We start from the raw sequence: 15,194 nt of genomic DNA, 5'->3' as shown, positions 1-15,194 counted from the left end.
CGACAGAGTGAGACTCTGTTTCAAAACAAAAAACAAAAAAGAAAAAGTTGAACTAAGGGATCTCACTAACCTGATTTATTATAATCACATAAGGGAATCTTACAAAGTGAGTCAAACCTAGAGGCACATACACATATAGTAAAGTGCCCCATCAGATATTTACGCTTTGTGGTTTTTTATTCAATACTTCTGGTGGGAAGAAGCTGCAAAGACCCTTAACTAATTTTGCAAAAGAAAGCATGGCTCTGCTCAAACACAATCTCAGACCACCAAGACAGAATCATCTGTTTTACTTAATGGGTAAGTGAAGGACCCACTTACCCACTGGAAAACTAATCTCTTCACAAGGAGCCTAACGCTTATCTCGCACTTCCAGGCATCCTTCCTGCAGGCCTGATCTAATGAGAGGGCTTTGGAAAGTCACTCCCTCTGCACTAAAGTATTGAAAAAAGGTGTTATCTATTTGCATTCAAAACACTATTTACGGTCTGGTCAGTATGAATTTGAGTCATTAAGTTCTTCAATGGACTTCACTTTCTGTCCACAAGCTCTGGCAAAAATCAAAGTAGGTGACAAGTGTTAATGTGACCGGAGAAGGCGGCGGTCAGTGCACTGTTCCTGCTCTCAGTGCTTGCTGGCTCTGTCAGAGCCGCATTTTTTAGATGAAAAGGAAAAGTCATCAATAAAATATGACCAATCTTTCTATGAACTGTAACCTGCCTGAACCACACTCACATTCCTCCATCCCTAAAGACGTGTCTGTAAAGGAAGTGAACACATGGGGGATGCCCAATACACCGATGGAGATGACAGCCCTGACCCAGCACAGCTGAAAACGAACCCACGTAGCCTGCCTGAAAATAATTCATAACCTCATAATGCTGAAAGTATAAAATTTTAGAATCCCTAAGTGTGACAAAAGGCCACAACAAAATGTTTAAACCTGTTAGGAAAAACTCCAGCAGCTGTTCACCCGTACCCTTACTTTCCAGAAATTCTATAAATAATCCTGTAAGTTACAATGACTTCAATAAAGCTCCCTATTTCTGTCTCTCCACCTACCAATTTTCTGCGAATTACATGCTTGGCCAAATTAATGTAAAGCCAAGGAAGAACTACACCAAAGCCAGGGCTCCTCGGCCCCTGCTGATGAGCACACACCAGACGTTCAGCAGTACTTGTGCTTCTGGTGTTTCAAATACCCTAATGAATGAGCAGCCTCTAATGGACTAGAATATGAATCAATCACTCCTCTTAAACAAGTACCCCCCTCCCAAGATTACAAGGGATTCCATTTCTTTTTCATAAAGTTTAAGACAAAAAGACAAACGATACTAAACAGCGAAAGTCAAATTACAAGTTTGAAAAGAAACTCTTAAGCCAAATAGCCCACTCAGCTAAAAATTAAGCCCTGATGAGATGATATAATAACCCAAAAACTGCAAAATACAATCTCTGCCACATCTTAATTTCCCTTTCTACTCTGAAAAAATTAACTGGTAAAGTAATAGTCATCAATGCTTTAACATGATCACACTGAGAAGTGGTACTTTCTTGAGACCATCAGGAAAAATAAATCCATACAATACGTACAAATTTTGGAGAGTTAATTAGTAAAACGGCGCAGGCAACTGCAATAAATCACCAATAGGTGTTTGAAAGCACACAGACACTCCAATTTAAAGGCAACAATTCCCTTATGCACAGCAACGTGTGCTGCCTAAGTACAAAATAATGTCAGACAAAAATAAGTCAGCACTTATATATTGCCGGTGGGAGCATTTTGAGAAACATTTTTATCTCACATGTAAAATTACGTCTCAACTCCAGAAGAGGGGAAGTAAACATTTATAACCTTACCTTTGCCAGAACTTTGGATGTAGCCAGTATTTCTCGGGGTCTGTTCGTTAATAAGAAAAGTTTCACAAAGCTAGAGTCTATATACACATCCACAAACTCACTCTTCCTTCTGCTCATGGTAAGCCAGGAAACAGTGTCTAACACTTCAAATGCTCAGCCGTTGAGAGCTAAAAACAGATCCTGTGCAATGCTGGATATATTTTTGTCTGCTAGCTACACACCCTCATCATGTTCAATTTTTTCCATTGGTGGAACAGTATGATGCAGACTTAACCAGAAAGTGGTTTTCCATGGGCTGCCTGAAGCCATTAGCCGGGACAGCCTGCCATCATGCCTCGGAGAGGCCAGGCTCGCCCATGACTGGGCTGTTGTTGGGCCTGCATTCCATAATTACCACCGAAGTTCCATAGGAACACGGCTCCCAAGTCAGCCGAATAAAGGTTTACTCACTTGAAGGGAGCCTCAGCTTCTTTTTTAAGCCCTTTAGCAGTAAGAATACACACCTACCATCCTTGCATTTAGAGCAGTAGTAAACATTCTGCCTCCAAAACCACAGCTGGAATGTTATGATCATAAAAACCCTGCCTCAAGAGAGGCCCTTAAAAATAATATCATGATTTGCAAAATATCGGGTATAAACTTACTTGTGTTCCTTGCTAGAGTTCTTTCATTTTTAAGTTGGCTGAACTACAGTCTTGTACATTGGAAGTCCTTGTTACCCCAACGTGGTGCTTTTTTATTAAAAATGAACCATTAAATTATCTTAAATAAAAGTTATATACAGCAGAGGTTCAGAGTGTTTTGGGGTCTTGCTATATCCTTTGATGAAAGACCTTACATTTTAAAAATACCCCAAAAAGGCTGGGCATGGTGACTTACGCCTATAATCCCAGCACGTTGGGAGGCCGAGGAGGGTAGATCACCTGAGGTCAGGAGTTCGGAACCAGCCTGACCAATATGGTGAAACCCTGTCTCTACTAAAACTACAAAAATTAGCCAGGTGTGGTGATACACGCCTGTAATCCCAGCTACTCAGGAGGCTGAGACAGGAGAATTGCCTGAACCCAGGGGGCAGAGGTTGCAGTGAGCCGAGATCACGCCACTGCACTCCAGCCTGGGATACATAGAGACTCTCTCTCAAAAAAATAAAATAAAATAAAATAAAATAAAATAAAATAAATAAAAATACCCAAAAGATAAAGCAGCATTTTCAGATCTTTTATGTTATTGTGGAGGCGGGATGATGAATAGGAGAACAGGATCACAAACCTTCATATTTTATAGAAGAAAACCACTTAATCAAAGGTTTTCAAAATGTACATATTCTAAGTATGTGAATACACAAATTATCCCGGACAAACATGTGGCAAGAGATTTTTAAGGTAATACCTTCATCATTTTAAAAATAACAAAGGCTGGGCACGGTGGCTCATGCCTGTGATTCCAACACTTTGGGAGGCTGAGGTGGGAGGATCACTTGAGCCTAGGAGACCAGCCTGGGCAACATAGGGAGACTGTCTCTACCAGAAAAAAATTAAACAATTAGCTAACAGAAAAAAAAAAAAATTAGCCAAGCCTGGGAGTGCACACCTGTGGTCCAAGCTACAAGGGAGGCTGATGTGGGCAGATCACTTGAGCCCAGGAGTTCAAGACCACCCTGGACAACATAGGGAGACCCTATCTCTACAAAAAGTAAAAATAAAAAAATTAGCCAGGGCCAGGGGCGATGGCTCATGCCATAATTCCAGCCTCTGGGAGGCCAATGCGGGCAGATCACTTGAAGCCAGGAGTTTGAGATCAGCCTGGCCAACACAGTGAAACCTCGTCTCTACTAAAAATACAAAAATTAGCTGGGCGTGGTGGCATGCACCTATAGTCTCACCTACTCATGAGGCTGAAGTGGGAGAACTCGGGAGGCAGAGGCTGCAGTGAGCCAAGACTGTGCCACTGCACTACAGCCTGGGAGACAGAGCAAGACAGGAGATTGAGACCATCCTGGCTAACACGGTGAAACCCCATCTCTACTAAAAATACAAAAAATTAGCCAGGTGTGGTAGTGCATGCCAGTAGTCCCAGTTACTTGGGAGCTGAGGTGGGAGGATCTATTGAGCCTGGGGAGGTCAAGGCTGCAGTGAGCCATGACTGCACCACTGCACTCCAGCCTGGGTGACAGACTGAGACCCTATCTCAAAAGAAAAAGGATCTACATATCCAACAGAAAGATTTTTACCTAATATTACAGACCAGCCTCTACCATAGACAGATAAGCCTTTAATTCCTTATCTGGATGAAAACTGTATTTTACATACACATACATCCATCTACCCATATAGGCACACACACAATCTTTTTCCACATGAAGTTATTATACACTTGAAGGTATGCTTTATAATTTTTTTTTTTTTTTGAGACAGAGTCTCTCTCTGTTGCCCAGGCTGGAGTGCAGAGGCACGATCTCGGCTCACGGCAACCTCCGCCTCCCGGGTTCAAGCGATTCCCCTGCCTCAGCCTCCCTAGTAGCTGGGACTACAAGCGCCCGCCACCACGCCCAGCTAATTTTTTGTATTTTTAGTAGAGACGGGGTTTCACTGTGTTAGCCAGGATGGTCTCGATCTCCTGACCTCATGATCTGCCCACCTTGGCCTCCCAAAGTGCTGGGATGACAGGTGTGACCCACCGTGCCGGCCATGCTTTCTAATCTTAATTGGCCAATAATAAGAGCCATTATTGAAGACCATCAGTGTAATAGTTATAAAAATTAGCCTGAGCACAAAACATTTAAGTCAGGGCGGGGTCAGGGGAGAAGCGCAGGGAGGAGAGAAAAAATGTTAATGTGAACACAGAACAGGGAATTTTTAGTGCTGGTGGGATAAACCTGCAAAATTCCCTAGTCCAACCCTCTGGAATTACAGATAAAGAAACAGAGACCTTAAGTGACTTGCAAAAGGTCACAGAGCTGGCCAGCAACAGGCGGCAGCACAAGGATGTACCACCCAAGTAACCACAAGCCCCGGGACTGAAGTCAGAGGTTGCCACGGAGGCCAAGTCACATAACACAAAACACGGGAATTCCCAAAATGTTAATTTGGTGTGTGGGGGTGTGTGGGGGTGTGGGGGGGGGGGTGTGTGTGTGTGAGGTAAATACAGAAGAAGAATGAATGCTATTAAATCATGAGCTCTGCTTCCTTCAGACCCAGCAGCCTCATTTCTGTTACTAAAATAGGTAAAATAAAATAAAATAACAGCCAGTGTAAATGAAAGCCTTCCACATTAAGACAGAAAAGGGACTCTGTGATACAAAGGGAAGAAAAATTGTGCAGGAGAAGGAAATTTAAAGAGATATGTATCAGAGAGCAAAAAAAAGATCAGAAGAACAATTAATTGCATGGAAATATTTGCATGCCCCTACTCTAATTCCTTTTTTTTTTTTTTTTTTTTTTGAGACAGAGTCTCACTCTGTTGCCCAGGCTGGAGTGCAATAGTGCTATCTCGGCTCACCGCAACCTCCGCCTCCTGGGTTCAAGTGATTCTCCTGCCTCAGCCTCCCGAGTAGCTGGGATCACAGGCATGCACCACCACACCCGGCTAATTTTTGTATTTTTAGAAGAGACAGGGTTTCACCATGTTGGCCAGGCTGGTCTTGAACTCCTGATCTCAGGTGATCCACCCGCCTCAGCCTCCCAAAGTGCTAGGATTACAGGCGTGAGCTACCGCGCCCGGCCACTAATTCCTGCTTCTAGGTTTTCTTAAAACAATTCTGACCTTTTGATACATTTTATATGTAGATCCCTTCTCTGCCAGAACCTCCTGTACACATGAATTATCTCCAACATTCCTCAGATATTTCCGATGGTTTTGCATTGTCTGATTTCATTTTTTATTACTGAGGTCACCCAAATGACTTTAGTTCTATGAATTTATAAAGTCACTTGGGGTTTCAAACTATGTAAGGTTTCTCAAGTTCTTTAGACTGCCCAACTACAGTCGTATACTGTCAATTTAGTTCTCCATCCTAAAATTACAAAAACCAGAGAGTTCCAAATCATAAAACTAGACTTGATCTTTCTAATGCTTTATTCTGAGATAATAATATAACAGGACATATGTGTTAACAGGCATCTAAAATTAAATTCCTTGGCAAAGATCTCTGAGAAAAATGTAAATTACCACTTACGAAGTATTCTATTTTGAAGGATACAATGTAAAATGACCCATGTAAAAGCAAAAATGGCAAGCTATTAACAATTATAGAATCAAGTGGTGGGTTTATGGGTGTTCACTATACAATTCTTTTGATTTTTCTATATTCTTGCAAATTTTCTTAATAAAATGTTGGGAGGAAAATATATGTATACACACACACACACACACACACACACACACACACACACACACAATAAATTAATCCATAAAAAACACCATGTTTTACTAATACCTAGTCAAAAACTATGCAAAAATTGTTGCAAACCTGACTGTAATAAAAAACCTGAATATCCTAGACTGCATGTGCACACATGCATGCAAAGATATATTCTTGAGGGTTTCTGTTCCTATCCAGAGAAGAGCTGGAGAATATAAAATGATAAGATGGGGCATTGGAACACCCCCAGAATGAAAAGTTTGAGAGCCACTATCACATGACAAATTATTATTAATAAAAATAAGGGAATAGTGGAAACATCTCAGGCTTCAAAACCAGTAGATCTGGGCTAGCAATTCATCTCTTCAAAACTTAGAGGCTTCCTGAATCCCATATCCTTCATCATAAAGTGGGGTTGACAATCATAATGCCTATCACAAATAAGAAATGTAAATAACATGTTCTAATCTATAAATAATTATAAGAAAAACTGACATTAAAAATATAAGTTCTAGGCCAGATGCAGTGATTCACACCTGTAATCCCAGCACTTTGGGAGGCCAAGACAGGCAGACCACTTGAGGTCAGGAGTCCAAGACCAGCCTGGCCAACACAGTGATACCCCATTTCTGCCCCAAAATTAGCCAGGCATGGTGGCACGCACCTGTAGCCCTAGCTATTTGGGAGGCTGAGGTGGAAGAATCACTTGAACCCAGATGGCAGAGGTTGCAATGAGCTAAGATAGTGCCACTGCACTTACTCCAGCCTGGGCGACAAAGTGAGACTGTGTCTCAAAAAAAAAAGGCCGGCACGGTTGCTCATGCCTGTAATCCCAGCACTTTGGGAGGCCAAGGCAGGCAGATCATGAGGTCAGGAGATCAAGACCATCCTAGCCAACATGGTGAAACCGCATCTCTACTAAAAAAATACAAAAAATAGCCAGGCGTGGCAGTGTCCACCTGTAGTCTCAGCTACTCGGGAGGCTGAGGCAGGAGAACCCGAGAGGCAGAGGCTGCAGTGAGCCGAGATTGCACCACTGTACTCCAGCCTGGGCAACAGAGCAAGACTCTGTCTCTAAATAAATAAATAAATAAATGTTCTAAAGTAATGTGAACTATCAGAAATAACCTCTCTGCTTAGAATTCAAAGAAGAAAACAATAAAAACTCCTTCCATATTCTTTACTTCTCAGGTCAAACACAGAATGCTTCTGACAGAACATCTGACCAAGCACCACTCCTTACTGCTTAGCTATAGTCAAGGAAGAAAAGTAAAAATAAAAGAATAACAATCATAAGTAGAGATTAAAAATATAAATTACTTTTACCCAACCAGGATTACAAAAGATTAAATAATCCCTCACAAACGTAAATGTGCACCTTGGATGTAATTACATTAATGGGCAAAAAACCTCGGCAATATTCATGTGCTGAAGAGGGCTTCCCCACACTGTTTCTGATGAAAAAGCAATACTTTGAATAACGTAGGCTGAAGGAACACAGACCTTGAGAAATGCGGTAGCAAAAATGTCCCAGATGAAGGCAAGACTAGAAGAAAATGAGGCACACCAAGTATCTGCCTGAGAATCCTGAGATCCTCAGAAACATTACCGGGGGAGCTGATTTTTCTCCCCATTTGATCAAAAGGCCCAAATTTAGGAAGTCTGTTTCTAAAACCAAAGGTTTCCAAATTTGCCCAGAGAATACAGTGAGGGCGGGTAGGACTGGCCTTCATATCTAAAACAGGGGTGGTGTGAAGGTTTACCTCCCACGTGTGATGCTGAAAACCCACGCAAATGTACAACTGACGTGCAATTCATTGGCCGCTCAGACATTGCTCCTAAGAGGCTAGCAAAACAACTCGGGGCCCACAATTTAGAGTCCCTCTGGCGTGACATCAGATCCCACTGTATGACACTGGACACATCATTTAATTTCTCTGCGCCTCAGTTTCGTATGTGACACTGGACACATCATTTAATTTCTCTAACCCTCAGTTTCTTAATCTGTAAAATGGGGATAATTTTGTCTGCCTCCCAAGCTATTGTAAGGATCATGTAAAACAATAGATGTAAATTGTTTAACATAAGGTCTGCCTCTTAGAATGTTAATTCCACAAGGCAGGAAGGCAGGGATTTTGTTTAAATTGTTTACTGTTGAAAGTCCAGGACTTTAAGAAGCGCCTGGCACATGGTGAATACCCAATAAATACATGTTAAGTAACTGCATGCATGAATGAACGAATTAATGAATGGGAGGTGACAGTGATGGTGGCAGTGGTGGTAAATGTGAAAGGAAGAACAGTGTTTGTTGCACTCTACATCTCTGTTGTCAGAAGCCAAGCAATCCCTTTTATTTTAAATAAGCCACTCCACATGCGATCACTGCCCATCAAGCAAAATTTTCACAGAGTTTCTGCTTAAAGATCCCCCACCATTCTCCGTTAGCATTTCATATTCCAAGCCGGCATCTTCAACAAGGCAACACTGCAGTGCCGCCGTGCTGGCAGCTGGCCACCTGCTCCTGCCTCCTGCTCTATGCTCCACACTGTGGGAGAAGCGCCAGCACCTGCTACTGTGAGTCAAGGTCTCACAGCCACAAAGTCAGACGACCCAAACTTCTGCTCTGCCTGTCTCATAATGATCATACGCAGTCAAAAGACAGCATATCTCACAGATGCTGATGAAGAGAACCCACCAGTCTCAGTTAAAAAACTTAATACAGTCATGTGCAGCATCACAGTGTAATAGCCGACGACAGACTGCATATACGGTGGTTCCACGTGATTATGATACCATATTTTTACTGTACCTTTTCTCTATTTAGAGATGTTTAGATACACAAATACTTCCCATTGTGTTACAACTGCCTACAGTATTCACTACAGTCACATGCCATACAGGTTTGCAGCCTAGGAGCATAGGCTATGCCATATAGCCTGGGTGTGTAGTAGGCTGTACCATCTAGGTTCATGTAAGTACACTCTATGATGTTCACACAATGAGGAAATCATCTTACACTTTTCTCAGAACTTTCCCCATTGTCAAGTGATACATGACTATACTGCATATTAACTGATTCAGATAAACCCAGACAAATCCTAAATATAACAAACAAATGAACAGAAAACACTGGTAGCCATAGCGTTAATAACTTCAATGCTATCACCTCACAACACTGTTATGAAGCAATGTTACTGGGCCTCAAAGTTCTGGTAATTTTCCTCTCCCACAATTATTATGCATCACGTTTGTGAGCCTTATACCACACCATCATTAATTACTCAATGGCTACGGATTAAATGAAAACAAAATGAAGAACAAGATAAATTTTTAACATTTTTAAAAGCAAACTGAAGATGTCTTCAAAATCAATAGTCAATTTTGAGAAAATTCAAAACGCAATACTAGCATGGTATGTATTGCTTTAAAGCCATTGCAAATCTAAATTCCCTAATATAAACTTTTTCTAAGTGTTTCAAAGGCATTAAATGCACAAATAAATTTTAATGCAGTCAATTATCTTGGAAATGAGATATTTTATTACACACACACACACACACACACACACACACACACACACACATATATATATACACATATAGATGAGAGAAAGAGAGACATGGAGTTTTGCTCTTGTTGCCCAGGCTGGAGTGCAGTGGCGCAATCTTGGCTCACCGCAACCTCTGACTCCCGGGTTCAAGCAATCCTCCTGCCTCAGCCTCCCAAGTAGCTAGGATTACAGGCATGTGCCACCACGCCCGACTAATTTTGTATTTTTAGTAAAGATGGAGTTTCTCCGTGTTGGTCAGGCTGGTCTCAAACTCCTGACCTGAGGTGATCAGCCCGCCTCAGCCTCCCAAAGTGCTGGGATTACAGGCGTGAGCCACTGCACCCGGCCTTATGGTACATTTATAAACTCCAAGTGTTACTTACATAACAAGCAAGCCCCAATAATATCATCAAATGACCAATTAATTACTTTCACAAGAGTGCAAATATTGTGACATAAAAATGTGGATTTAAAACTAATTCTTCATAAAAGTTGTTCTTTTCCATTTTTACCACTTTTATTCAACATAGTACTGGAAATCCTGGCCAGGGCAATTAGGCGAGAGAAAGAAATAAAAAGCATCCAAATTGGAAAGGAAGAAGTCAAATTACCCTTTTGTTCAAAGTAGCCTTTGTTCACACATGACATGGTTTTATATTTAGAAAAATCTAGACTCCACCAAAAACTGTTGGAACTGATAAATGAATCCAGCAAAATTGCAGGATACAAAATAAACATACAAAATCAGTAGCATCTATATATGCCAACAGCGAACAATATGAAAATGAAATCAAGTAGGCAATCCCATTTACAATAGCTACAATGAATGTAAAATATCTAGGAAGCAATTTAACCAAAGAAGTAAAAGATCCATGCGATAAAAACTGTAACACACTGATAAAATAAACCAAAGAGGACACATTAGAAAATGGAAAGATATTCCATGCTCACGGCTTGGAAGAATTAATATTGTTAAAATGGCAATACTACGCAAAGCAATTTACAGATTCAATGCAATCCCTATCAAAATACCAATGACATTCCTCACAAAAATAGGAAAAAAAAGGTGTTCTAAACTTTATGTAAAACCACAAAAGACCCTGAATAGCCAAAGGTATAGATCAATAAGAACAAAGTTGGAGGCATCAAACTATACCTGACTTCAAAATTGACTGCAAAGCTCTAACAACCAAATGAGCATGGTACTGGCTTAAGAAAGAAAGAAAAACAAAAAAACACATACACCAGTAGAACAGAACAGAGAATCCAGATAAAAATTCACACATTTATAACCAACTCATCTTTGACAAAGGCACCAAGAATATACAATGGGGAAAGGACAGTCTCTTCAATAAATGGTGCTGGGAAAACTGTTAACTATAGGCAGAAGAATAAAATTAGACTCCATCTCTCACTATACACAATAAATCAAGTCAAAATGGATTAAAGACTTAAATCTAAGACCTGAAAATATGAAACGGCCAGAAGAAAACATTTGGGAAATGCTTCAGGACATTGGTCTGGGCAATGATTTTCTGTCTAAGACCTCAAAAGCACAGGCATAAAAGCAGAAATCGATACATGGAATTACATCAAGCTAAAAAGCTCCTGCAGGCTAGGCATGGTGGCTCACACCTGTAATCCCAGCACTTTGGGGGGCCAAGGCAGGAGGATCGCTTGAGGCCAGGTGTGTGAGGCCAGCCTGGGCAACAGAACGGGACCTCTCTCTACAAAAAATTTAAAAAGTGGCTAGCTATGATGGTGAGTGCCTGTATTCCCAGCTACTCAGGAGACTGAAATGGGAGGATGGCTTGAGCCCAGGAGTTTGAGGCTGCAGTGAGCTGTGATTGCACCAATGCACTCCAGTCAGGGTGACAGAAGAAGACCCTGTTTCAAAAAAATAAAAATAAAAAGCTCTGCACAGAAAAGGGAACAATCAACAAACTAAAGAGACAACCCACAAAATGGGAGAAAATATCTGCAAACTACCTATCTACAAGGGATTAGTAACCATGATATATAAAGAGCTCAAACTACTCAACAGCAAAAAACAAATAATTCAATTAAAAATGGGCAAAAGATCTGAACTGATATTTCTCAAAGGAAGACATACAAATGGCCAACAGGTACATGAAAAAATGCTCAGCATCACTAATCATCAGAGAAATGCAAATCAAAACTACAATGAGATATCATCTCACCCCAGTGAAAATGGCTTTTATAAAAATGACAGGCAATGACAGATGCTAGAGAGGATGTAGAGAAAGGGAAACCCTTGTACACTCTTTGAAGGAATGCGAATTAGTACAATCACTATGGAGAACGGTTTGGAGTTTCCTCAAAAAACTAAAAATAGAACTACCATGTGATCCAGCAATCCCACTAGTGGGTATAGATCCAAAAGAAAGAAAACCAATATATCAAAGAGGTATTTGCACTCCCATGTTTATTACTGCACTATTCACAAAAGCCAAAATATATCAACCTAAGTACCCATCAAGAGATGAATGGGTCAAGAAAATGTGGTATATATACATAATGGATTATTATTCAGCCATAAAAAGAATGAAATCCTGTCATTTGCAGCAATGTGGGTGAAACTGGAGGTCATCAAGTGAAATAAGCCAAGCACAGAAAGACAAATATCACATGTTCTCACTTACATGTGGGAGATAAAAAAAAGAAAAAAAGTAAGTCTAATGAAAGTAGAGAGTAGATTGGTGGTTGCCAGAGGCTGGGAAGGGTAGGAAGGAATGGATGAAGACAGGTTGATTAATGGGTTCAAATATACTGTTTGATAGAAGAAATAAAACCTAGTGTTAGATCAGTAGAGTGACTCTAGTTTACAATAATGTATTATAAGTTCCAAACAAGCTATAAAAGAATAGTTCTAATGTTTCTAACATGAAGAAAACACAAATATTTAAGGTAATGGGCATCCCAATTACACTGATTTGATCTTTACAAATTATATGAACGTGCTGAATTACCATTCATACCCCAGAACTATGTACATCGATTATGCATCATTTAAAAATCATTTTTAAAAAGTTTTTCTTTAAAGTGACCTTTTTCTGTAGGTCATTATATCCAAATTAAATACACCTTAACAAACAGCAATGAATGATAATGTACAAAATCCTAAGTTTTGAAATTAAATAAAATGCTTTACAAAGAGTAACGGATAATACTTTTATGTAAATGATAACATCTGTATTATTACGCTACCCAAAAAGAAACCTACACAATGAGTTTTGGCTAAGGTAAAACAAAGTTTTTGGTAGAAAAAAAATCCTTCAGGAAATATGCTTGTAAAATCCCGGCTTATAAATACTAGCTACTGGGTACATCTGTTTACAACATTTTTGAAGGTTATATTGGAACATTGGAGAAAGTGCAAGTAATCTGCCCAGATCTAATTGTAGTTAAAGTTATAATGTTATATTCAGCCTCTCAGTCAACTCATAATATTTTCTCTTTATGGACTGAAGTAAAATTGTTCAAGCTGGAAGATTCCTAATAAGTTTAATTCAGAGAATAATTGAATTTGAGTTCCAAAGAGACCAGAGAGGTCATCTATCTAGCCCAACCTTCCCTCTAATTTAGGAATCTCCTACAGCATCCTGACAGATGGGGCCACTCTCATTTACCTAAATACATTGAGTGACGGAAAGTTCACAGATCTGTTAGGGGGCACATTCCATCAGTAAATAACCAGTTGATAGATGAGAACTCCTTCCAGCAACTTTAAATCAGTCATTCTAAAAATTCCACTAATCAGTCTTTCCATCATTATCAACACACATCCTACTCCTCTCTTCCACCCAACCACCCTACAAAAAACTGAAGTTAATTACCACGGATCTTCCCTGCTCTCTCTCCAGCCAAGTTCTTCACAATGAAGCCAGAATCACTCTTGTAAAGCAAAACAAAGCCAGATTCTGTTCGTACTAAACATCAAAATGCACAAAGAACAGAGTCCTAAAACTTCAATCTGTGCCTTAATAGGCATTGAGCCCACTCCCTCGGTTATATCACTCAGAGTCAACGAGGTTACAGGCTCCATCTGTTTGGGGCCATGAAGTCTAGGGAGGATTGGGGATCCACTGGAAAAAGCAGAATGGAACTTAGTTCCATAGATCACAGACGTGTGCAAATTACACACTGTCCCCATTTCACCAAGCCAGGAGGCCACAGTGGATGTTAGGGAAGGCAAAAAAGATATGCTGCCAGGCAACTCCTTCTCCATGACCATGGAGAACTGAAAAAGAGGGAGGAAATGAGTCACATCTGAAGACAGAGGGAAAATTTAACTGTCCAGATTAGGGGTCACACTCAGATACCTTCAGAGCTATTTAAATATATGAGCGAAGCCAGGCACGGTGGCTCATGCCTGTAATCCCAGCACTTTGGGAGGCTGACGCGGGCGGATCACTTGAGCTCAGGAATTCAAGACCAGCCTGGGCAACATAGTGAAACCTCATCTCTACAAAAAAAAACAAAAAAACAAAAAAACAAAAAAAAAAAAACCATAGATATAGCCAGGTATGGTGGGACATGCCTATAATCCCAGCTGCTCAGGAGGCTGAGGTGGGCAGATTGCTTGGGTCCAGGAGTTTGAAGCTGCAGTGAGCTGAGATAGCGCCACTGCACCCCAGCCTGGGTAACAGTGAGACCCTGTCTCAAAAAAAAAAAAAAAAAAAAAAAGTCTGAGTGAAGCAGGCCTGACTGAGTCATGCAGTCTAAAGACACAGAAACCACTTGTTTGCAAGTTAGACTTCTACAAGTATACTTCGGCATACATCCAAAATATACCCTCTTCTATTTTTTTCTTGAAGTTTGAAACTATGAAAATATCTTTAGTTTTTCCATTACTACTATGGACATTGAAAAAATAACTGTTTCAGTTTTCTCCTAATTCTACTAAAAGAAAACAACTTAAGTAAATGAAAAATGACAACTGACATTTGATGATGGGAAGACTGTGTGGAGTGGTGGGGACTGTGGCAAACCAGCTGACGCATGACCCAACCAAAAGGCCACCATCTACACAGCTTCAGCTATCCACTGCCAGCTGAGAAGGTAGAACCCAATGTTGCCAGATAATCCCACATTTTGAAGAAACACTAAAAATTTGGCTTTTTTGTAAAATTCTTAGTTTTTAAACGCAGGCAATCAATTTAAATTTAGTTAACACAGTGATCCCCTGATCACATTTTCTAGGCCAAACAAAGGTTATCCACAGCCCAGAACCAGCCCAAAACTCACCAGTTTGCAGCCTCTGCTGCAAATGACAAAATACAAACACAAAAATTGTCAATCCTAAAAAACATTTTAAATTAAAACAATAAGCAGTCCCAACTCCCTGACTTCAGAAGGCTAAATCCTAGGTTTCTGGGGGCATACAACCAACTTGGCCTAGGA

The 15,194-nt window shown here is 40.4% G+C and overlaps 1 protein-coding gene across 3 annotated transcripts in view; it reads right to left on the bottom strand.

Annotated features, from left to right (window-relative positions):
• TIAM2 (TIAM Rac1 associated GEF 2) overlaps nt 1-15,194 on the bottom strand; it is a 262,409-nt gene that overhangs the window by 148,700 nt on the left and 98,515 nt on the right. The window contains exon 1 of one of the 3 annotated variants that reach the window (NM_001384547.1): nt 1,861-2,037. The exons of the other annotated variants lie outside the window; for them this stretch is intronic. The gene's annotated coding sequence lies outside the window, so the exon portion shown is untranslated. Of the gene's footprint in view, nt 1-1,860; nt 2,038-15,194 lie in introns of those variants that run through there. 3 annotated transcript variants of the gene reach the window in all.

Source organism: Homo sapiens, chromosome 6, assembly GCF_000001405.40.
Source record: "Homo sapiens chromosome 6, GRCh38.p14 Primary Assembly".
NCBI lineage: Eukaryota > Metazoa > Chordata > Mammalia > Primates > Hominidae > Homo > Homo sapiens.
Note: the sequence above shows the minus strand (reverse complement) of the source record. Positions and strands in the feature narration are given on the sequence as shown.